The sequence below is a fragment of the Homo sapiens genome, chromosome 3 (assembly GCF_000001405.40).
Source record: "Homo sapiens chromosome 3, GRCh38.p14 Primary Assembly".
In the NCBI taxonomy this organism is placed as follows: Eukaryota; Metazoa; Chordata; class Mammalia; order Primates; family Hominidae; genus Homo; species Homo sapiens.
In genome coordinates this window covers 114,777,061-114,801,975 of record NC_000003.12, presented here as the reverse complement: position 1 = coordinate 114,801,975, position 24,915 = coordinate 114,777,061, and the positions used below count along the sequence as shown (strand labels likewise).

Genomic DNA, 24,915 nt, shown 5'->3' with positions numbered 1-24,915 from the left:
ATTTTAAGCCTAATATTTATTATATACTTGGAGCTCTTAATGCCTGGACTGTTACTTAATTTGGAATTATAAGTACATATTTAAAAAATAAGCAACATGCTTACAGTTACTTAAACCAGGGAGTGTTGTTCAGACTCTCTTGGTCTTCCTGTGCTGCTTCAAACAGCAGTGGCTGCATGTGACAAGATGTACAATATGATGTGAAATGGGGCACGCTAAACCCATAATACAGTACATTTCAATGGCCATTTTGTGTTGTTAAATATGTTTATTTAGCCCTTCTTCACCATCTACCTCACCAGCAATTCAGTCACTGGAAAGTAGGAGATCTAGCATTTCTTACAATTCCATTTGAAGTCATAATTTCCCTTTAATATGTGTATTCAGACCCATAGATTTTCTTCTTTATTCCCTGAACTTAATATTTTCTGTAATCTTTAGGCTGTAGAAATTGTTTAGGAGTTTTTTTTTAATCAGAATATAGCTAAAATTCAGAAACATTGAGTTTCTAGTCATATCATTATGAAGTCCTTAACATGGAGGCGTATTTTGTTTTTCAGAATTGCTTTTTTTCTCCTCTTTAGATCCTTTTCTTTTCATTAAAAAACTACTCTGGGAAGAGGGTTTTTTCTTTTTTTTTTTTTTCCTTAACAGAAAAAAAAAAAAAAAAGAAAAAAAGAAAAGCCACGCTTGACTGATAATGCATTGCTTTGGATGGTGAAACATTATGAAAGTTTAATTTTTAATTAAATCTGAAATACCAATTATAACTGAAAGAGATTTTAACCTGTTTCTTTTCAGACTGCCTGAAGTTACATTTAGAGACTGAAATCACTGCACCTTAAAAACAAAAGATTGAGCTGCACTGTATTCCTGTAAGTCAAAGCTTTCTGTACCTTCTTCTGTGTTTCTGTGACCAACCCAAAAAAGGACAAAAACATTGGTAACATAGTAACCAGACATGAGTAAAAATTTGAATGTCCCTGAAGAAATATATGTTTAAATGATTTTCTTCTTAAAAAAAAAAAGTTGTTGGTCTCAATATTCAGTATGTCTTTTTTATCCAACCTAAATTGTGAATCCTTTCTTTTGGCTGGTTTGAATTTCATTAGGGAGGGTGTCACCCACTGTGCATGAGCACAGTGACACACACCCTGTCTGGAAAGATTCTTGCTTTTTTATTTTATTTTATTTTATTTTATTTTATTTTATTTTATTTTATTTTTACTAGTCTCACTGAAGGTAAAAGATTTCTTTTGGAATCAAAGTAGATTTCATTTTCCTTTGTGATGTCATTAGAAATTTTTAGCCTTTGTGTCAATGGAAATGGAGAGAAAGAAAGTTCATGATGACATCACAAGATTCTGTTGCCTTGAGGACTTTGGGCAAAACTAAGTAAAATGCATAATTCCCTTGTGTGCGTGTGTTCCCCATTCTGCTACGAAGCAGTCAAAATAGCACATCTTATGTCTTCCCGTGAGCTACAAGGCTGTCTCTCAGAGCCCCATTGTTCCATAAATGCATGTCAGAGTCTACCACAGTCTGGTCTACCCTTATTTAGCTGCTGTTTTGTCAATGTACTTGGAAGAACAATTAACATTTGGGATTTCAACGTCTGAATAACAGGCAGTGAATAGAACCCAAGCATATAAAAGATTCAGACGCCCAGGGTAAGAAAACAGAAGCTTATAGTTGGTGAAGAAAAAAAAGAAAAGCATTTTTAATGCTGCACTCAAAGGTTGTGAAATACTACAAGGAAAGTCAATCTGTTTTTATTTTTAATTTTAGATCAAAATGTACATTTTGGTAATAAAATCCAGAAGCTTATGATGTCTTCCTCAGTTTTACAGTTTAATGTATTGCAAGTTCTTTCGCTAAGAGTCTTAAAACACTTACCCTTCTATTGTTGGAATGCCAGATGTGGAGTCTACTGTATCGTGGTTTTTAGAGTGTCACAGCCCCCAGTCAACAGAGTACACTAAAGGTGATTCAGACAATTGCTTCCATTTTCACTGTAGTTCATTGCACTCTTTATTGACTGTAGTTCTTGTGTGTTGACAGTAGACAGTTCTGGAGTTGCTTATATGTCTCTGCCTATGGTCTGAATTCCTGCTAAGTTCATTTTTGTTAAGCGATGATGCACGGACAGAGCAAGGTTACCTTACTGTGATTGCATCTGGTGAAATGAAGGAGACTTTGGCACTTTGTGTATGTTGCCCACTGAGCATGGTGCCTGGCTGGTATGAGTGAATAAATGATAGTTATTGTTATTGTTGTCATAACTACAACAGTTCAAACCCACAGACAGTAAGGTCTCTAAGAGCAGGGGCTCTCTCTTTCTTACTCATTTTTGTAATTTCTAACCCTTGGCACAATAATAGGTAATCATGAAATAGCTGCTATTAGTTTAATTTCAAAACTTTTTAAAAGTCAGAAATCCAGGGTTCATTCTGTCAGAGAATATTTATTGTAAACACAGGTTGAATACAGTTTTTGACAGTCAGGAAGAAGATGATAAAGGAATTTGCCAAACACAACCTTTCTGCTTATCATATCATACGAGGTATCCATCTCCCAGCCCCTTACCTCATTGACTTTACACTTCTTTTTCCTGACCAAAGTGAGAATTGACCATTCATACCACATCCTTTTCACCTATGAAATGGTCTTCAGCATTTTTCCACTTAAGTTGTGTGTTTTATATCCCACACACTAGAATCAACTCCACAAATAAATATGCCCAATTCCAGGGTAGATGATGCTCTGATACCTCAGTTCGTCTTGCCATATTATAGATTTTGTTTCAGGGAAATGGGACAAGTGGTACAATAAGTATTGGGTCAAGAGGCCAGGGATTTGGGAAGGAACCATTAGCAGAATGTACTTTTAGTGCATAAAAAGCTAGGACCAACTTTTCAACACTAATATGACCACAATATTCTTTAGAACTCAGAACCATTTGACACCTTCTAAGTTGTTTTTTTTTCTTTTTTACATACATTTATCTGCCCCTCTTCCCCACCATCAGTTTTTAAAATTTATTTCCAAAAGGGATTCTTTCATTTTTATTAAATGAGCTTCTGGTGATGCAAATTAAGGCTCTCATAAAACTTGACCTCTGAGGCAATATTAAAATGATGAAATTTAGGCTTAGTGAATTCTACTGTTATCATGTTCAATAACATTTAAGGACATAAAAGAATTTTATAAAAACATTTTATATATTTTAAGATTGAAAAGTTTAGGCAAATGTAAGGGCAGAGCATCACCAAACATTATAGTGGGAAAGGATGTAAGAAACAAAGTCTAGTGACTTCATTTTTAAATAAGCAAATTGAGGCACAGGGTAGGGCACAAAGGTTACACAAACCATATTGACCACCATCGCAGATCATCCTTAGAGACCTAGACGTGATAGTCTATCTGAATTTACAATCTGAGGCTTCAATCTTTCCACTACAATCAGGGTCTAAGCAATGTTTCCTGAGGAGCAAATTGCCTTGGGCTCATTTTTTGAGACTTGTTGAATTGTAGTCCCCTTCATCAGAATCTCAAATTCATATATAAAGGAGTATCCTGAAAACATTGGTTGTTATCAAAAGAGGTTTTTTTGTGTGTTTTTTTTTGTTTTTTTGTTTTTTAATTTTGTTCCTAGTATCATGCCTTTGGTTGAGCAACGAGTCCTGTAGAGGCAAATTTATTTGGTTGACTTAATATTCTTTATGATGATTTACAAAGTGGACATAAGACCATTAGAACTTCAGTAGTTTAATTGGGCTTACAGACATGATGAAACCAGTAATCTGAACAGAACCATAGTGGTGTGGAATTCAAACTTCCCAAGGGTGTGTACGACGCATGGTGTCAGAATGTCACTGTTGCCAGGGGTCATTTCCATCAGAGAAAAGTTTTCCAGAGTCAGAAAAAAAAAGAAATAAGCTTTAATATTTTAAAATGAATTACTTGCTCTGGTCATTTGTTTCACATTGCTTTCATTGGATTCTGTCATTTACCAATCCAAAGAGGCTACGGTAAAAACCTGTTATTTTACCCAAAGCTAAATTCTGGACATTTTCTAGTTTCTTCCTTTATTTTAACCCATCCAGGTCTTCCCTCTCTCCACCATGTACTGAAAGTTAGTGGCCTTAAGTCTTTGTGCCTCAAAGACAAAGAGACAATAGTTCTGCCCTTTAAAAATTCCATGGAAGCTTTGGCATATAGAGAAGGAGGAATCGAGACATGGTGATACCAGAGCAGGGTCCTAGATGTAGATGTTCAACAAAGTTCTCTCTTCAAACCTCTTCTCCCTTTCCTTTATAATAATGAATTAATGTTCTGTGCCTCCTATAACAAAATATTTTACCAAGATACACAGATAAATAACACATATTTTCTGTTATTAAGGAATTCATAATTTATCTGGGAAAATCGCATCTTTCTTATAGACAAAACATTATATGGAATAGCAGAGGAAGTAAATGGTTATCATTTTTTTCTAGGCCATGAAGGAATAATGTGATACTAGCAAGAAGCCTATGAAGAGGGAGTAATAAATGAAAGTCAGGAGAACATTGATAGTATTGGTGTGATTTCAACATAGAATGCTTGTTGGGGACAGTGACTAGAGGAGGAATTGGATGAGAACCATAATGTATGGGAGGATCAGTTTTCCAAAGTGTGGGTTGCAACGCATTAGTAGGTCATGAAAGTTTAAAAGATCACATATACTAGAATCACAGGAAAATAAATATTTTTTAAAGCACATCACATATTTTTAAGATACTAGATGGCAAAATAAGTGTATTTCTTATGAGAATTATGCACCAAAATATAAAAGCAGCTTAAACATGACAGAGCTTTTAAATATTTAACTCATGTAATCCTAATTAAGGGATAAAATTATTTTCTTCCTTATATATGAGAAAATGGTGGAGTTAAGCAATTTGCCCCAGGATATACAACAGGTAAATAGTAGACACAGGATGTGATCACATCTGTCATACTCCACATTCATACTCTTCTCATGACTTGACACAGCTTCTCAGAGTTACATGACTTCAATTATTTCACTATGGATAACTCAGAAATTTATATCTCCAGTCCTGATATGTCTTCAGAACTTTAGTCCTATATTTCCAACATCCTTATTTAAATCTTCAACTAGAAATCACACTAGTTTCTCTGAGTCAGCATATCAAAACTTAATTTATTCTTCTACTTAAAAACCATCCTGCTTTTGACTATCCTAGCTTCTCTAACTCCAATTCTCTAGGACATCTTTACTCAAAATATATCATTCTTTCCTCCTCTTAATACATCCTAGATGTCCAGTAAGTGGCCAAGTCTCATTTATTCTCTTTCTTTGATACCTGTTCCAGTCAGGATTTTATCTTCTCTTGCTTACAAAAATCTCCTAATTGAAAGAGATGGAGCAGGGAGATCAGTTTATCCTAAACACTGCTGCCCCATTAACTTTCCTAATATAGGAGTACTAAGATTATGTCGCCTTTGTTCAGATAAAACTTTCAATAATTCTGTGTATAACAATCCCTAATCAATATACATGACATCCTAAAATCTAACTCTGATCCCATTTCTTAGTTAATTGTCACCTACCGGGTTGTATGTACTATAAACTCAGGCCGAGTTCTCTTACTCACCTTTATTCATATTGTTCCAGCATCTGGAATGTCCATCATTCAATTTTTTCATATGCAAATCCAACCCATCCTACCAAGTTCATTTCCAATGTTATGAATTTCATGAATCCTTCTTTCCTTGACCTGGACAGAAACAATCCACTCTCCCCTAACTATCAAATTTACTTACCACCTGTAGTGACCCTGCTGACAACTTGATTTTGGACTTGTAGCCTCCAAAACTGTGAGATAATAAATATTGGGTATTATTTATAAGCCAACAAGCTTGTGGTAGCTTGTCACAACAGCTCTAAGAAACTAATGCAATACTCATCTACACTTTTATTGAGACAGGAATTACTTTCTATATTTTATAGCACTTTATGTGTATGCCTTATTCCTTTACTAGAAAACAAAATTTTAAGGGAATAGTCCATATTTAATTAACATTTCTTAGCCCTACTGAGTCTACCACAATAGAATCATTGATTCATTATTCAACTATATTTAATAGTAGAAATATAGAAATGATCCCTTAGACCTTCATCATGAAATTGATAGTCTCCTAAGGAAATTAGACATGTAATAAGTGCAAACATAATTACAACATTACAAGCTGTGGTCCACATAAAGTGTTATGTATGCAAGACAACATTGAGTGGGGGAAATCTCTTATACTGTCCTTTGGGTGTTCAGGACAGAATTCTCAGAGAGAGTGTCCTTTGATTTGAACATTGAAGGACAGAAAATAATATCAGCCAGGTGAAGAATTTGGGGTAGAGAACGGAGTATGGGAGGGGAGAAAGCTCCAGACAGAAACTGCATATACAAAATCCTGTATTCAAATGCAAAGCTTTGAATCAGACTTTCTGTATTCAAAGAACTAAAAGGACTTCAGAGTGGCCAGAGCAAAGTGAGCAAAGCAGAATGGCTGGAGGTGTGGTCAGAGAAATGCCAGAGTGAGGAATTTTAATTTTATTCTGAATGCAGTGGGAAAGCACATAGTAGATACACACAAAAATACCAATTGAAGGATAGCTCAAGAATAGGACAAGATCAAAATTAATTCAAAGGTAAATAATATACACATGCTAACAAAATCCATACATTTATTTTAAATCCTTCCTGAAGGTTTACCTCTGAGTTTGAGGAGAGCTTGGACTTCTGAAATAGAGGTCTTATAATTCAAAACATATTTCTCACTTGCATAAACAGAGTAGATCTCTGACAACCTTCTAAGATAAGGTCAAGTTAATTTTATTTTCTTTCTAGTTAATAATTATTAAAATTCTGTTGTTGGTTAACGGATTTCTTGTTTTTGTTTATTTTTAAGTGGCTGTTGTGTAATGTAGAGATGCATACCAAAAATGTGTTTTGTTCCTAGAATGTATTTTTTATCTGTTAAACCTTAATCTCATTTTTAATTTTGGTGTATTTTATCATGTGCAATGACCGGGCACCTGGAGGCATAGAAAACCTTGAAAATAAATCATCATTATTCTCATTATTACTACCTACAACATGACTGGATTTCTGGATTGAAGAACAATCCAGGCTTTTTTTAAGTATGATGCATTAATAACATGGTATGCCACTAAGCCAGAATAGAGATATTGGTTTGTTTGCAAAGTGATGGAAATTATCCCCTTTTGCAATTAAAGAAGAAATAGAGTAGAGGGAATGTGGAAATTAAACCATAGAGAAGTAGCTTAAGCTCTAAAGATATGAGGATTTATCTGCTATAGCTCAGTAAAAAGACCCTGGAACCAGAAAATGTTATAGCGACAGGGAATCTTAGGAATTATTTATTCTAACCTCTTCATTTTGGAGACGAACAAAATTCAGGCCTAGAATTCCTATCCAAGTCATAGTTAAATAGTCAATGGCAGGGGCTGGTACTGTAATCCCAATACTCAGGAGCTAAATTACCACAGCCAAACCAGCTAATATGTGATCAAAGCCCCTATCATAACCCTTTCAAGGTCTTGTGTAGAAAAAGAAATATTAAGTGCAGGAGATGAGTCTATGTACAAACCTTAATTAATAAAAAATCTGAACAATATATATTACAATCCATTTACCTAATATACCAGATACTGTATAAAGAGTTGTCTGTAATCCTTGCTACCACACTCAGCAACTACCCAGCAAAGTAGGAACCATTCCCATTTTATAATGAAAAAACTGAGCCCCAGAACGATTAAGTAGCATCTAAAATTGCAAAGCCAGTAAGTGAGGTTTGTATTACTATTAGACCTCACTGATTCAAACTCTGTGCTATCTCCTGCTTGGTGTTTTTAAATCTGTTGCATTTAGTTATAGCCTAAGCTAGTGTGGTCACAGAGGTCATTAGTTCTCTAATAGCCCAAATGTCTAAAAGACTGAAAAAATTTAGGAGGGTAAGAAAAATAGTTACATTTAGCAGATGCCCTCTCCATAAAACTCTTCACATTTAATTCTCACAGCATTGACTGTAGATTGATGTCATAATCTTTAGTTCACAGTATCAGAAACTGAGGCTCAGTGAGATTACATTGCTGTATACATTTTAGTGGAAAAAAGCTTGAGCCTGCATTCATACTCTGATATATCTGACTGTAAGTGTTCTTCCTATTATTCTACCCACATCCAAGTCTGTTCTTCTCTTGGATGCTAGTTAGTTTTCTATGGTTTACGCACCTCATCTGGCAAAGTAGAATTGTAATACCTGCTGTCATAGACTTCCCAAAAAGAGAGAGTGCGTTGAGAGGTTGGCTTTATAATTATATCATAATGGCTGGAAATAAATGTAATGTCCTCTATACATTTCCTCCTTTGAAAAATGGGGATCTGGGAAGATTGGTAAGATCTTTAGCATTAGACTTTCATTTCTGCATCATCTTGATTTACTGTGTCTGTGCCCAATACCCCATCATATCACATATAATCGTTCCAATAACCTAGATCTACTGAAAAAAACCTTTGAAAAATGAATGAGAAGTAAAAAATTGTAATTATTAGACCAATAAGAAGGAATAATTCCAATGTTTAATAATTGGGGTTTGGTGTACATTTTTCTTCTTAAGACTAACTTAATTAAAGCCTTATAGTGTGATCAGAGGTAAAGGCCTATGAAGGTACTCAGCCTTATTGCTGCTATCAAAATGCAAAACTTTGGGGCCAGGCACGGTGGCTCATGCCTGTAATCCCGTCACTTTGGGAGGCTGAGGCGTATGGATCACTTGAAGTTAGGAATTCGAGACCAGCCTGACCAACATGGTGAAACTCTGTCTCTACTAAAAAATATAAAAAAAATTAGCTGGGGATGGTGGCAGGTTCCTGAAATCCCAGCTACTTGGGAGGCTGAGGCAGGAGAATCACTTAAACCCAGGAGGCGGAGGTTGCAGTGAGCTGAGATCGCACCATTGCACTCCAGCCTGGGCAACAAAGCAAGACTCCATCTCAAAAAAAAAAAAAAAAAGAAAAAGAAAAAGAAAAACTTTGAAAATTCAAACATACTTATGAATTGCTAGCACTGTTTTCTAAAGACCAGTGAGGAATACATTTGAAGTGAATCCCTTGGTAAAACCAGGACAGAGAGATGGACGGGGGTTGAAACATTGCTGATGATGGGTGCCACTGCAAACATAACCCTGAATTACCTTCCATGTGTGCCAACTTTAGGAGCACTGCATGTAAACACCCCCATTTCTGAAGAGGTCATTTTCTATTACTGACACACTTGAACAAGTATTCTAAAGCCAACTCTTACTGTAGAATAATTATCTGAGTCTGGGAATGGGATGTGGGGCATCAGTATACATAACAATTTTACGGTAATTAGAAGCAATGCTACCTGTTAGGGTCCTCCAGTAGTTGTTTCTTCCCCCTACTTCTTGAGCTTTGACTTCTGAGATTATCTGTGTGAAAGCCCTTAGCAGTCCATTGAAATCTTCTAAAGTAAGGCAGTTAAAAAATATCTTTCCTGCTTAGCAGAAGGGACTTTGTTCTTTGGCACCACCTTACTCTTTGCAATATGTTGCTAGTAGCCCTAAATCAGAATGTGCATTAATATATCTTTTGAATTGTTTGGTCTCCTCAGGAGAAAAAAAAATGTTTTCAACAATCTTATAATATTTTGTTAAAAATCCAATTCTGGTTCAATGTTTTGTTCTCAAAGGAATTTTGAATGAAGAAAAAGCTTTTGTAAGAGGGAGGAAGCTTATCTAATCTCTTCAAGACTGATGAGAAGCAATCAGGAGCTTGTGACTCTTTGAAACAGTAAATTTCTAGGGAATTGGGCACACGTTTCTCAGGAACAATAAAGAGTGTTACACTTCAGGTTGGCTCTAAATGCACCCCTTCATGTATCCCAAAAGGCAATTTGAAAGCACCGTTCTCTGAGTCAACTGGAAAAGGGAGGAAGCCATGCTGAGCTGAGATTCTTTCAGGGGGTCAAGAGACACTGAATACAGAATGAAGATCACTCTTCTGATTACTGTCGAATTCTCAGTTATAACCTTTTTTAATAAAATGTCTTCAAAGATGTAGGAAAATAAATTGGCTCAGACAAGAGAGTTACTGGATATTAGAAGATTTAGATTTTTGACAAGGTCTTCTACTTGTTTGCAAATGTACTATCTTGACCATATAAAATTTGCCTAACCTTTGCTAAAATTTCACTGAATTGTTCTTTGCTTACATTACTTGATATTTTAAGACTTTGTTAGATAATCAATAAGTGATAGATGTGTAGCATTGTTACTGTTGCCATGGTTACCATCAGTGTTCTCTTCCCTTCTCTAGGTTAGGGTTGGCAGGTACAGCTATGAACCTGGGTTCCACATCTAACCCCACATCTGCTCATCTTCTTGTAGCACTGGAAAGTGTGAGGGGCCTGACTAGACTCTGGCTGCTCAGTAGTTAACCTACACTCATCTCACCTGAAAAACTTGTCAGTGAAGTTTTAGTCACAAGCCTTTTAGAAGATAGAAAAACAGTTTGCATGGAAAGCTCTCATTTTTAAATAAAAACTGATTATATCAAGCTAAGTGAGACTCTCTAATTGATGACATAATACTGTCTACGTTATCATTGCTTACCACTAGCAAGGCAGCAAGTATAATTGGAAGGAAAGAGTATGGGGCTATCTGGAGACTTGATTCAGGTGTTGTCAGTTTTGTCTTAACATCATTTTCCTTATCTGTAGGGGACACTTTCTCCTATCTTAATGACACATGCAGAAAAGTCAAATGATATATGTGAAGCATTAAATATTTAGAGTTCCATGGAATAAGGCTAGTTTATAAATATCATATATTACAATAGAAGTACTAGTGGAAATGTAAATCACTTTGAGGTCTCAAGAGTAAGGTCCTTTATCTGAGTTCTTAGTGGTTGGAAATTTGTTTTTGAGTCATCATATAGGGAAGTCTTCTGTTGCTACTAAATACTGATCATGCATTGGAAACAATGAAGAATGAATTGCTAGTGATATATTACTTCTTTTAAATAGTTGCTTTAAAAGCATTTGTTACTATAAATTCTCTGAGAAGTTTCTCTCAAATTAAAAAAAAAAAAAACTTACTGTTATGTCTCCCCTATGATAGTCAGTGACTTTCTGGAGGGCAAAAAACCAGGAGTACCTCACTGATTTTCTTTCTTGGTCACCAAAGCTGGTACCAGATAGGTCTTCAGTGTTTGTTGAGCATCCTGTGTAAAAATTTAGTAATACTTTTAGTAAAATTTGTAAAAAAAAAAAAAAAAAGTATACTGATTTCTTGAATTGGACTACATGCATATCATATGATATGGACAGATGATTCATCCATGTTATTGAAGATAATGCAGCCATTAGGAAAAGAATGAATTATATCTATAGCTGTTAACCTGGAAGAATGACCATAATTTTCAGGGTAATGAGTATTTATGAATAAATATGTTGCGTATGTTTATATGAACATGAAGAAAGCTATAGAAAATAATTCATACCATATTCTTCACATTGGTTATTTCACAGAGTTGGGAACAAAAAAAGGAATCAGGAAAGATTATTAATTTTTTCTTTAAATAGCTTTTATTGTTTCACCAGTTACAATGAACATCTATTATTAAAGAAGTTTGCAAATTAATACATAAAATTGTTTTAAAAATTCTTTAATTCTCAGATAAGCAGACTGAGAAAAGTAATCAGCACACAGAAGTTTTAGTTTCATTTGTATTGCAACTTCTGCAGCACAAAAGAAAATGCATACTGTAAGCAGACTGATTCATTTAATCAACAAATATTTCCTGAGCTGTAGTTGGTACTAGTTCTTGTTAATGAAAATGTCTGTGTGTATGAGTGTGTGTGTGTTTGTGTGTGTGTATTCACCGTGCTTTGGTGTATAAGATAAATGTTTACTTAGATGATAAATTACATCATGTTTCACTTATAAACCTCAGGACAAGTGTTTAAATGGAACAAAAATATACACAATCAAGAGACTTGATGACATTTCCAGAACTCTATAATCTGCTTAAATATTTACCTGTTTATCTTCTTCTCACCTCATGACTTCCGCAGACCATTTTCATGACTTTTGTTCTAGTATAAGTTTTATAATAGCAGATCCTTATAATCTAGATATTAATTATCCTTGTAACTGATGCCTCTTCTACTCTTAACTCTAAAAGGATACTTAATCTTTTCTAGCTTGAGTGGATCTTTTGCTATTTATAATTCTAAATTTCTCTTCCCTTCATCTCAGTATGCTCCAGGCCCTAACCGGCTTTTAAAATTACCTTCACTTGTTTACTCTTAGCTCCCCCAACTCAGGATCATTTTGTCTCAGAGGTTCCTAATTCTAGCTGCATATTAAAACCTATAAAGTTTTTTTAAAATGTTAATGCATTGGACCCACCCAGATGTTCTGCTTTGGTTGTTAAAAGATGGAGTCTAGTTGCACGCTAACCGCTTATAGGAACCCAACTCCTGTTTCATCTTAAAATTTTCAATTCAGTGAAGTCAAATTTAACATGCTTCTTCACATTGGAAACCATTTTTCTGGATAGTGACTGCTTCTCTAACCAGACAATAATAAAGCTTTAACATTATGCATAATACAGCTCTATGTATCATCACACAGATATGCATGTGACATGCATACAAACACATATGTTAAGCTAATGACCAAATTTGAACACATAAGTTGATAAATATACAATTGCTCTTTAGATCCTATGCATGAAAATAATTAATTAGACCTTGTGACCAAACTTGAAAGGTCCCCTGATATGGTTTGGCTCTGTCCCTACCCAAATCTCATCTTGAAGTGTAGCTCCCATAATCTTCGTGTGTTGTGTGAGGCACCCAGTGGGAGGTACTTGAATCACAGGGGCGGTTTTTCCTGTGCTGTTCTCATGATAGTGAATAAGTCTCATGAGATCTGATGGTTTTATAAAGAGTAGTTCCCCTACACACACACTCTCTCGCCTGCCTCCATATAAGACATGTCTTTGCTCCTCCTTCACTTTCTGCCATGATTGTGAGGCCTCACCAGCCATGTGGAACTGTGAGTCCATTAAACCTCTTTTTTAAATAATTACCCAGTCTTGGGTACATCTTTATTAGTAGTGTGAGAGCAAATGAATACATCCTGTTTAAACCTAACTATTGTAAATGAAATGTCCTATATTCCTAAAGAGTGTCAGAATATGACTTGAGTCTGACTAGTGAGGAAAAAACTGGTGGCTGACAATAATGTCAAAAGGAATGCACAGTTGATAGCCAAAAGGTGAAAACAATCCAAATGTCCATGAATGGACAAATGGATTAACAAAATGTGGTCCATACATAGAATGGAATATTATTCCTCCTTAAAAAGAAATAAAATTCTGACATATGCTATAGCATGGATAAAACTTTAATGCATTGTGCCGAGTAAGTACCTAGTATAGTCAAATTCCTAGAGACAGAAAGTAGAATAGAGGTTACCAGGGGCTAGGAGGAAGGGGAAATGGGATTATTATGTAATGGTTACACAGTTTGAATATGGAAAAGTTAAAATGTTCTAGAGATGGAGGTGGTTTTGATACTTGCATAACAGTGTGAGTATACATAATGCCACTGAACTGTACACTTAAAAATGGTTAAAATGGTCAATTTTTAATATATATTTTACCACAATAAAAAAATGTACCTTTGAAAACTCTTTAAAAATATCAGTGAAAATACATTGCAGTTACAGGGTTTAGAAGAAAAATTGAACTACATAGTCTGTTCACAGAATCATTAGATTTTTATGAAATATGGTAATTTATTGGCTTAAGTAACAGTCTTTACCTTGCTGTCATACTTACAAAATTCAAATACTAGTGTTATCCTTGATTAACAGGCAGTAATGACTGTAATGAACTATTAGAGACTATGTTTTAAACAAGCAGAGAATTATTTAAATTTGTAGCTATGTTAGACATTCTCATTTTGGTCAACTAATGGCAGGGAGGTAGAACTGCAGGTTTCTTTTTCATCAACAGTGTTATCTCTTACCAAATTATCTTATTAGTAGGAGAAACCATGGCTTTATTTGAGCCTGTATTTTCCAATAATTCAATATGTAATCAGTTACTCCCTTTTTTCCTCTGAAAATGTTGAATATTTTTACTGACATTAATAAACTTCTTGGTATACAGTTCTATGAATTTTAACATATATATAGATTTATGTAACAAGCACCACCACCACTATCAGAATATGAAAGAGTTCCATCACACTGAAGAACTTCTTCCTTTATCCATCCTCTCACCACTAACTCATGGCAACCACAGATCTTTTTATCATTATAGTTTTGTCTTTCCAAGAGTTGTCATATAAATGGATATATATGTATACGTGTCATATAAATGGATATATATGTATATATGTGTATATATATGTGTATATACGTGTATATATGTGTACACACGTATATATATGTATATATATGTGTGTGTGTGTGTGTGTGTGTGTATATATATATATATATATATATATATATATATATATAACCTTTTAAGACTGGCTTCTTTCACTCAGCTTGATGCATTAAGACTCATTCATGGCTGGGTATGGTTAGCTCATGCCTGGAGTTCCAGCAGTTTGGGAGGCCAAGGGAGGAGGAATGCTTGAGCCCAGGAATTCGAAACCAGCCTGGACAACACAGGGAGACCCTGTCTCTAAGGAAAAAAAATTTTTAATTGACTAGGCATGGTGATGTGCACCTGTGGTTCCAGCTACTTGGGAGGCTGAGGCAGGAGGATCACTTCAGCCAGGGAGGTTGAGACTGCAGTGAACCATGATCATGCACTTTAGTCTGGGCAATAGAGTGAGACCCTGTCTTTAAAAAAATAAAATAAAATATTCTTTCATATCATTGCATGTTTCACGATTTGTTTCTTTTTTATTGCTAAGTAGTGTTCCTTTGTATGGATATACAGAAGATCATTTACCATTAATTCACTGAAAGACATTTGGGTAATTTCCAGTTTTGCATTCCCACTGGCAATGTATAAGAGTTTCAGTAGCTCCATATCCTTGTCAATATCCTTGTCAATACTTGATATTAGTATTTTTTTATTCTAGTCATTATAAAAGGTGTGTAATGGAAATACTTTTTTTCTTTTAGCCACATTTTTTTTTCTTCAAACTGTAGAAGATAATGTGATTCTGGAGCCATAATCTTTTCTGATTCTCCTTTTCAGTACTTTCTATTTCTATGTACTATTTTCCACAGGAAAAAGATCTATTATTATTATATTTCTGATACTATTATTTTCCCCCACTCCTCTTGGAAATTCTGTTTTTTCCTATGACAGTATATTAATTCAATTTTTTAGTTTTTCTGAAATTCCTTTTTTTGTGTGATTTCACTTTTATGTGGAATCTTTTTAAAAAGAAGCTGAAAACCATCATTCTCAGCAAACTAACACAAGAACAGAAGACCAAACACCGCATGTTCTCACTCATAAGTGGAAGCTGAACAATGAGAACACATGGACACAGGAAGGGGAACATCACACACTGGGGCCTGTTGGGGAGTGGGGGTCTGGGGAAGGGATAGCATTAGGAGAAATACCTGATGTAGATGACAGGTTGATGGGTGCAGCAAACCACCATGGCACGTGTATACCTATGTAACAAACCTGAAAGTTCTGCACATGTATCCCAGAACTTAAAGTATAATAATAATTAAAAAAGAAAAAAAAAGAAATGGTGTTTCTCACTACTATGGCTTGTGATGTATTGAAAACATGGCTGTTCACTACCATGGCACACGTTTGCCTATGTAACAAACCTGCACGTCCTGTACATGTATCCCAGAACTTAAAATTAAATTAAGAAAAAAAAAGTAGATTTCAAAAGTGTAAAGAATAAAATGGTGATTGCCAGGAGCTGGGGACAGGGATATCAGGAGAAGTTCGTCAAAGGGTACACACTTTCAATTATAAGATGAATAACTTATGGTGATCAAATATACAGCATAGTGACTATAGTTAATAATACTGACTTGCATCCATTAAATTTACGCAGAGAGTAAGATCTGAAGTATTCTCAGCACACACACATACTCACACACATGCACAATGGTAACTATATGAGGTGATGGATATGTTAATAATCTTGACCGTGGTAATGTGTATTTGATAACCATCACATTGTACATATTAAATGTGTAAAATTATTGTCAGTTTTACCTCAATAAAACCAGGAAAAAATACTGAAAACTACTCCAAAACACAAAGTAAAATATAATAATAATAAATAACAATCAATTCCACCACTTAAAAAATAAATTTTAACTGGAAGTGAAAAAACTTCCCTCTGTCCCTAAAATCTTCTTCTGTCACCCCCTAAGATAACCACTGATAACATTCAACACCTGATGTGCTAATCTGAAATAATTTTATTTCAGCTACCGTGTTCTTAATATAATTTGTCTCCACATTAGACGTACAAAGAGAATATAATTTAATAGTTTGAAGATTATCCTTTCCTGTTGTATTATGTGTTTTTCATCTAACTGGCTGAGATACAGCAAGTTTTCTCTCCAATTATATAATTACCTAAATAGCATGACATCTCTGATTTTGCCTCTTGACCCACAAAGCCTAAAATATTTAAGATTTTATCCTTTTTGGAAAAGGTTTGTCAACTCCTATTTCAGCTGAAGGATCTAAAGCCCAGAAAAGTTAGATGATGTTCCCAAGGTATTGGTTAGATCCATTTTGTGTGTGTGTGTCTTTTGGGGTCAGACTATTCTGATATTGTATGGATTCTGGAGTATGTCTGGTTTGAATCCTACATCCACCCGTTACTACCCTGGTGATCTAGAGCAAATGACTTCCCTTTGCCTCAGTTTCCTTGTTTATAATATAGTATTGTTGTTAGCATTAAATGAGATAATATATGTGAAATAATTACAGTGTGCTTTGCACATGGTTAGTACTCCAGTTAACTGTTAGCTATTGTTATAATTAGTGTCAATGTGTTGAATTCATAGGCTATCCTAAAGAGAAGGGATAAATGTTCACATCTGATCCAGTCTCATTTTCTTAAAATAGCAGCGATGTTATATCATCTGTAATCTGAGGAAAAACTGGCATTTATTCACATTCTTATTTTTGTAGTATGGTTTATTCATCCTTCTTTTCAATAACTTTACAAGTTAATAGAAATTATGAACTTCTAAAATACATGCATAATTTATAATATTGATTAACTTAAACACAGAGCACTCAAATGATAACCACATAGCACACCTTCCCTGAGTCCAGCAGATGATAGTGAAAACTCTTTGTTCTCTCATGCTGTGTATCTTGAGGACATTTTCACTATATTTAAGACTACTTGAACTGATTACAATTCTTTTATGATTGGGCAGTGGATCAGTGGCTGGGTTTTTAAAAATCATATTTAATTGTATTTTGTGCAATGGTGAAGTGTTATATTTCTGTTCACTCTTTTCTGTTATTCACACAAAACATTACTTGCCCAGTTTATTGTTTCTGTTCATCTACTGCTTAGACTACAAAGCCATGATGTTGAGCTAGATGAAATCCAGTTAGATAAATGCAGTATATATTGGATCAGTTAGTATTTTACTCTGTTAGTCCTCTTGCCTGTGGCAACTCTAGTTAACTATAGAAAGAAAAAAAAAGTTCTATTCCTCCAAAAGAATTAAAATGAAGGAGGACAGCATATTTTCTGCTTTAAAAAATCTAGAATTGTGGTTTCTAAAGAAAACCCACTGTGTACTTGATAATTTCTAAAGAAAAATTTGTTATGGACTATAGGTTATACCTTGCATTTAAGAACCACAACGAAAAGACCAACTTTAACTTCTCCTCATTAAAATGATAAGAATTGGTATTGCCTATAATTGTTTCCACTGTGACTCCTATGTGGTTTTTGTTCAATATACTAGTCCAAACAAGATTTTACTCTTCTCAGCCCTGTAGATCTAATCTCACAAAACTAAGCATATTTTTTTCAGTTTCATACATCATCACCATCATCTTCCTGAGGATGTATTTTTTTTTTTTTTTTTGAGGCAGAGTCTTGCTCCGTCACCAGGCTGGAGTGCAGTGGCGCGATCTCAGCTCACTGCAACCTCTGCTTCCCAGATTCAAGCAATTCTTCTGCCTCAGCCTCCTGAGTAGCTGGGATTACAGGCACGTGTCACCAGCCCAGCTAATTTTTCTATTTTTAGTAGATACGGGGTTTCACCATGTTGGTCAAGCTGGTCTCGATCTCGTGACCTCGTGATCCACCCGCCTCAGCCTCCCAAAGTGCTGGGATTACAGGCATGAGCCACCGTGCCTGGCCAAAAGATGTATCTTAACAGAAGAGAAACACTGGAGTAGGAAAAATGCTGCCATGTTTAGTCTTAAGGAATTTAAGAAAATAAATTGATTTGTGCTTCATGAATCCATAATTAAATAGGTAGTTCAAGAGGCAAGATTTTGAATAGCAAACAGTATAAGTAAGACCCAGATGTGGCAGTCTACTCTGTAGGTAAACAAGACCAAATCAGAAGAAATTCAAGGTCAATAAAAACCACCAGCACTTTATCCAAATATAGTTCTGCCATATTTATGTAATGAGTTTAAGTATAAATTGCTTATAATTACATATTTCCATAACATGTAGTACTTTACCTAACATAATATGTATTGCATTATAATTATTAATTTAATTGTCTGAACCTACTTCTTATGCAGAGACTTTATTCTGTCTTGACCACCGTGGTTTCCAATGTACTCAGCACAGTTCGGAATTTGATATTCAGTAGATTATCACATTAGGTTGAAAGAGTGAATGGATGAATGAATATTCATGAATAAATGAATTTTTTAAAGGACATTATTATTATTTTATTTACTGGACTGATTGCCATACAGGGATATATGCATCAAATAATAGCCAATTTTTCAAGTATATTGGGAATTAGGAATACCTTTGATGTTTATGTCACCTATTCACAGGACTTTCAACTTATCTCTGCATATCAGCCAGTTTCTACATTAAGGATATAAGCTCTATTTTCACAGATTTAGATTTAGTATTTGCATCAAGATCCTGCTCAAATATTACCTTCTCTACTAAAATTACCTTAATTCCACCATCTATAATTAATTGCTTATTCTCTCATCTCCCACAACACATTATCTAGGACTCTATTTATTGAATTTATTTTCAGGCTTTTTCCATGGTTTATTAGGCAGATTATATTTGCACCCAACATTAACATTGCACTTAGTTACTCAAATATTCATGCATTTTTAAAAAAGAAAGTTATTATGGTTAAGGGGAAAAAAAACTTACACATGTATAAACTTCAAAAATATTTCATGCTCACTTAGAGCATTTATCCCCAGCACAGAGATCAGAGATCCATTGTCAGTACCATAATAGCTAGCTACTTCTACTTCAACACGCCCCTCCATTGGATAGAACCTGTGAGTCTTAGCTCTCGCTTTAAAATCAATAGCCTCCCCCATTGTAGTAACTGTTATTAATTAACTAAGTCATTCAATCCAGAAATATGCCACTGAGCAACTACTGAGCAAAAGTGAATGGGACAGTTTTTGTCTTCAAGTAGAAGACCATATAATAACAAAAAAAAGTATATGTAAACAAATCATTACAAAGCAGCAGGTTAAAGGCTTTGAGACATGTATAAGATACTGTGGGAGCATATAGGTGGAGCATTTGCTTGCTGAAGAGCCAGCACCTCCACTTTCCTCAGTGAGTGCTTTCATGTTCTCCATATCAGAAGATGTATGCATCCTGCTAAGCCTCTTCTGCTCCCCCATTTTCTCCTTTGCCTTGTGTATTAGTCTGTTCTCACAATAAAGACATGCAAGACTGGGTAATTTATAAAGAAAAAAAGGTTTAATGGACTCACAGTTTCACGTGGCTGGGTAGACCTCACAATCATGGCGGAAGGTGAAAGTCACATCTTACATGGCAGCAGGGAAGAGAGAAGGAAAGAGCCAAGCGAAAGGGGAAACCCCTTATAAAATCACCAGATCTCATGAGACTTATTCACTACCACGAGAACAGTATGGGGGAAACCGCCCCCATGATTCAGTTATCTCCCACTGGGTTCCTCCCACAATATGTGGGAATTATGGGAGCTACAATTCAAGATGAGATCTGGATGGGGACACAGCTAAATCATGTCATCTTGTGAGAGTCACTTCTCAGTTACTTTAAGCCACAAATGGGTGTAGCATTTTAGATTACTCCCCTTAAAAGGATGAGAATATCTGTCTCAAACATGTCTAAAGAAACCACACTAAGGCTTTTCCTCATACTATTTCATTAATCCTACTGAAATAAAATATTGGTATGAATTAAGTTAGGCAGCCATTTGAAAGACAAAATGCCTTAACAAGTCCCATTAATGAGAAACACCTTATCTCCCCCCTGCAAAATGTTTAACAGGCTTGTACATATTAGAAGTAACAGCTAACATTTATTAATTACTATGTGCCAGTCCCTGTTCTAAAAGATTTATATGTAAATTTATGGCATTCCATCCTCACAACAACTCTTGTAAATAGTCACTGTTGTTATCCTAATTTTACTGGTGAGGAAACTGAGGCACAGAGAGAAAAAATTTGCCCAAGGTCAAGGATGGGGCAAAATCAAAATTCAGTCCCAGGGAGTCTGATTCCACAGCCTACATTAAAAAAATTAGTTTTTAACTTTTGTGAATACATATTAGGTATATATATTTATTCCTTAGTATCAAGTCTTCAAATTAAAATTTGCCTTTATATGACTCTTAAAAATGTTTGTTTTTTCTTTATAGAATAATATTTATTTTAAGATAGAGTTTTACAATGGTTGTTATGTTTCCTTCAACTTGCATATTCTGGGGAAGTGAGAGGTAATATACAGTGTAAATGAATGAACAGTTAGCATGTTGGTAATACAGAATATGTTTGCTTATTTATGGTAAGTCATATGATTCCCTAGAGGTAAACCTGTCTAAATTGTTTACGTGTTTATAATCTAAGTGATTATTTTAAAAATGGATACTACGGGCCAGGCGTGGTGGCTCACGCTTGTAATCCCAGCACTTTGGGAGGCCAAGGTGGGCTGATCATGAGATCAAGAGATCGAGACCATCCTGGCCAACATGGTGAAACCCCATCTATACTAAAAATACAAAAATTAGCTGGGCATGGTGGTGCATGTCTGTTGTTCCAGCTACTCAGGAGGCTGAGGCAGGAGAATCGCTTGAACCCGGGAGGTGGAGGTTGCAGTGAGCCGAGATCGCACCACTGCACTCCAGCCTGGCAACAGAACGAGACTCCGTCTCAAAAAAAAGAAAAGAGAAGGATGTTACCAACTTTGTACTATTTAAGCTAGTCTCTAGCAATGACATGGATATATATTAGAGAATGCATCTCTGCTTAGTGCTCTGCACCAATGAAAAAGCCTTTCTGTTTTTCCTCACTCTTCACTTCCAACTTTCTACTATTAATTCTTTTTCTCCTTTTCTCTTCATATAACAACCATTTTTGTCTTAATGAAAAACTTAAAGTAGGCTTTATTAAAACACTCACATATTGTTTCTTCATCTGTAAAATGAAGGATTGGATTACATGATCTTAAAAGTCCCTATGGGAAGACTCCATGATCTACATGTTTGATGGAGATACCATTTTATTAAGAAAAAAATTATGCAATAATCTATTACCAAGACACATATCATGACAATCATTGATACAGAACATTTTTATTCAGGATTTAAAGTCTGGTTTTATTCAGGATTTAAAGTCTGGTTTTATTCATTACAGATTTTTAAAAATTCACTAAACTACTTCAAAGAAAAAAATAACTTCATAATTTTTGTGTATGTAATTTGCCTGTGTAGAGGGGAATTGTATAAATCTACCCACTTTGAAGACCTAAGTGTGTAATCAAGGGGTGTTTATTGGAAAATTTATATTAAGTAACTGATAACCTGGGATTTTGATTAATTTGTGTCTTAGAAACATTATGACTAAGAAACTAGAGACAAGTCCTTGTTCATTTGTAAGATTCCTAAGTGTATCTCATATCTTTCCAAATGTTCTTGACTCTTGATTTTAAAGTCCCATTTATCTCAACCATTTCTCCATCACAGCAAACTTTATCATACTAAAGGCATCCTCTTATATTTGTTATAGCACAGTACAGATTATTAGCTTTCAGGATCATAATCTGTGCTAAAAGGGTTAAGGTAGTTTTGTAGTAGGATTTTTAAAAATTATTTTATATTTTATCTCTATAGCACTCAATAATTTATCACAAAGGTTACAAACCCAAATGAACCAATCTGCACTGATCCTGGCCACCCATTCTTCGGTGCCGTGAGTTCTATGTCAACTAGTTACTACTTAACTTCTTACCAGGGGTGATAGAACTAAGAGAAGATAGTAACAGGAAAAGAATGTTCTCAACCCTCTAGGAACTCAGAAATAGGTGAGATAGTGATAAATGGGAATGTTAACAATTGCCTATTGGGTTGTTGGAAGGGTTCATAAACAAATAAAGAGTACCTGTAATTATATGGCACTATGAAAATCTGCATAGTTTTTTTATAGAAAGGATATGCATCCTGTCCTTCTAAAGATAAGTTAGGTGTACATAGTGTTAAAGCAAATAGAACAAGGAGACAAGGAGAGTATGAAGTTGGAATTCATATCGACTGCTCAGCACCCCAGATAGTGGAACTCAGTGGCCTCTGAAGTCCTGAGATTTGAACTGCCTTGAGTCCCCCTGGTATTATTAGGAAATTGAAAAGACAACACATTGAGATTCCCATTTTTCATGTTTATTGAAATGAAGGTGTATAGGGATAACTATTAGAATTTCTTTAGCCTCCTGGTACTTTGAATGACTTATGTTATCTTTCTTTTGGTACAGTAGTTATGTTAATCATCAGTTACTTTTTTTAATTTTATTTAAAAATAGACTGTTCTTCTTGTTTTGAAAACTACTGCCAAATGAATACTCTGTGTTAATATGAAAGTAGCAAAAAATAAATGACTCTGTCCATCTTTTACATGTTCTGTCATTGGACTATTTTCTCCAAAAGAAGGATTCTATCTCTAGTAGCTTTTCAAAGGTACTAGAGAACGCAGCCAGCATTTCTACTTGATTTTCTCAGTTCTTCTCATTTGCTGATTGATCTAGAATCTCTTTAAGCTTTCCATAATCTTATTTCTTTATCTGTATCTGTAGTCTACATCTATTAGCTTCATGGTGATTACGAAGATTAATGGTTTGGTTGTTGAAAAGCCATATAGCTAAGAAGAATCATAGAGTTCAGGTGTATTTTTAGTTCTTTATTAATAATGCTGCTACCAAGTGTTTTTAACGATGAACTAGAGAAAGGGATAAACTGGGTGGTTTGGTCACAATAATTTTGCTATTGGACTTTTCCAATTTTAAGTTATTGGGTTTTTTGTTGTTGTTGCTGTTTTGTTTTGAGATGGAGTTTTGCTCTTGTTGCCGAGGCTGGAGTGCAACGGTGTGATCTTTTTTTTTTGAATGTGTATTATTATTATTATTATTATTATTATTATTATTATTAACATACTTTAAGTTTTAGGGTACATGTGCACAACGTGCAGGTTTGTTACATATGTACACATGTGCCATGTTGGTGTGCTGCACCCATTAACTCGTCATTTAGCATTAGGTATATCTCCTAATGCTATCCCTCCCCCTTCCCCCCACCCCACAACAGTCCCCAGTGTGTGATGTTCCCCTTCCTGTGTCCATGTGTTCTCATTGTTCAATTCCCACCTATGAGTGAGAACATGCAGTGTTTGGTTTTTTGTCTTTGCGATAGTTTGCTGAGAATGATGGTTTCCAGCTTCATCCATGTCCCTACAAAGGACATGAACTCATCATTTTTTATGGCTGCATAGTATTCCATGGTGTATATGTGCCACATTTTCTTAATCCAATCTATCATTGTTGGACGTTTGGGTTGGTTCCAAGTCTTTGCTATTGTGAATAGTGCCGCAATAAACATACATGTGCATGTGTCTTTATAGCAGCATGATTTATAATCCTTTGGGTATATACCCAGTAATGGGATGGTTGAGTCAAATGGTATTTCTAGTTCTAGACCCCTGCGGAATCGCCACACCGACTTCCACAATGGTTGAACTAGTTTACAGTCCCACCAACAGTGTAAAAGTGTTCCTATTTATCCACATCCTCTCCAGCATCTGTTGTTTCCTGACTTTTTAATGATCGCCATTCTAACTGGTGTGAGATGGTATCTCACTGTGGTTTTGATTTGCATTTCTCTGATGGCCCATGATGATGAGCATTTTTTCATGTGTTTTTTGGCTGCATGCAATGGTGTGATCTTGGCTCACTGCAACCTCTGCCTCTTGGGTTCAAGAGATTCTCCTGCCTCAGCCTCCCGAGTAGCTGGGATTACAGGCATGCACCACCATGCCCGGCTAATTTTGTATTTTTAGTAGAGACAGCATTTCTCCATGTTAGTCAGGCTGGTCTTGAAGTCCTGACCTCCCTCGGCCTCCCAAAGTGCTGGGATTACAGGTGTGAGCCACCATGCCCAGCCAAGTTATTGTTTTAATATATCTATTTAAGAATTCTTGGGTTTAGGTTCCATATTATCTTTGGGTTAAACCTTAAAAATAGATTTTTCTTTGAATAGCTAAAGGAAAGTTACCTCAAGTGCAGATAGAGGATCTTTATTTTTATAATACAGTATATATGTGCCAAATATAGTTTATA

The 24,915-nt window shown here is 35.2% G+C and overlaps 1 protein-coding gene across 9 annotated transcripts in view; it reads left to right on the top strand.

Moving 5' to 3' along the window:
* The window catches only part of ZBTB20 (zinc finger and BTB domain containing 20), an 832,789-nt gene that overhangs the window by 345,313 nt on the left and 462,561 nt on the right, over nt 1–24,915 (top strand). For 8 of the 9 annotated variants that reach the window (NR_121662.3, NM_015642.7, NM_001348801.3 and 5 more), the window contains one exon: nt 802–875. The exons of the other annotated variant lie outside the window; for it this stretch is intronic. The gene's annotated coding sequence lies outside the window, so the exon portion shown is untranslated. The remainder of the gene's footprint in view (nt 1–801; nt 876–24,915) is intronic. 9 annotated transcript variants of the gene reach the window in all.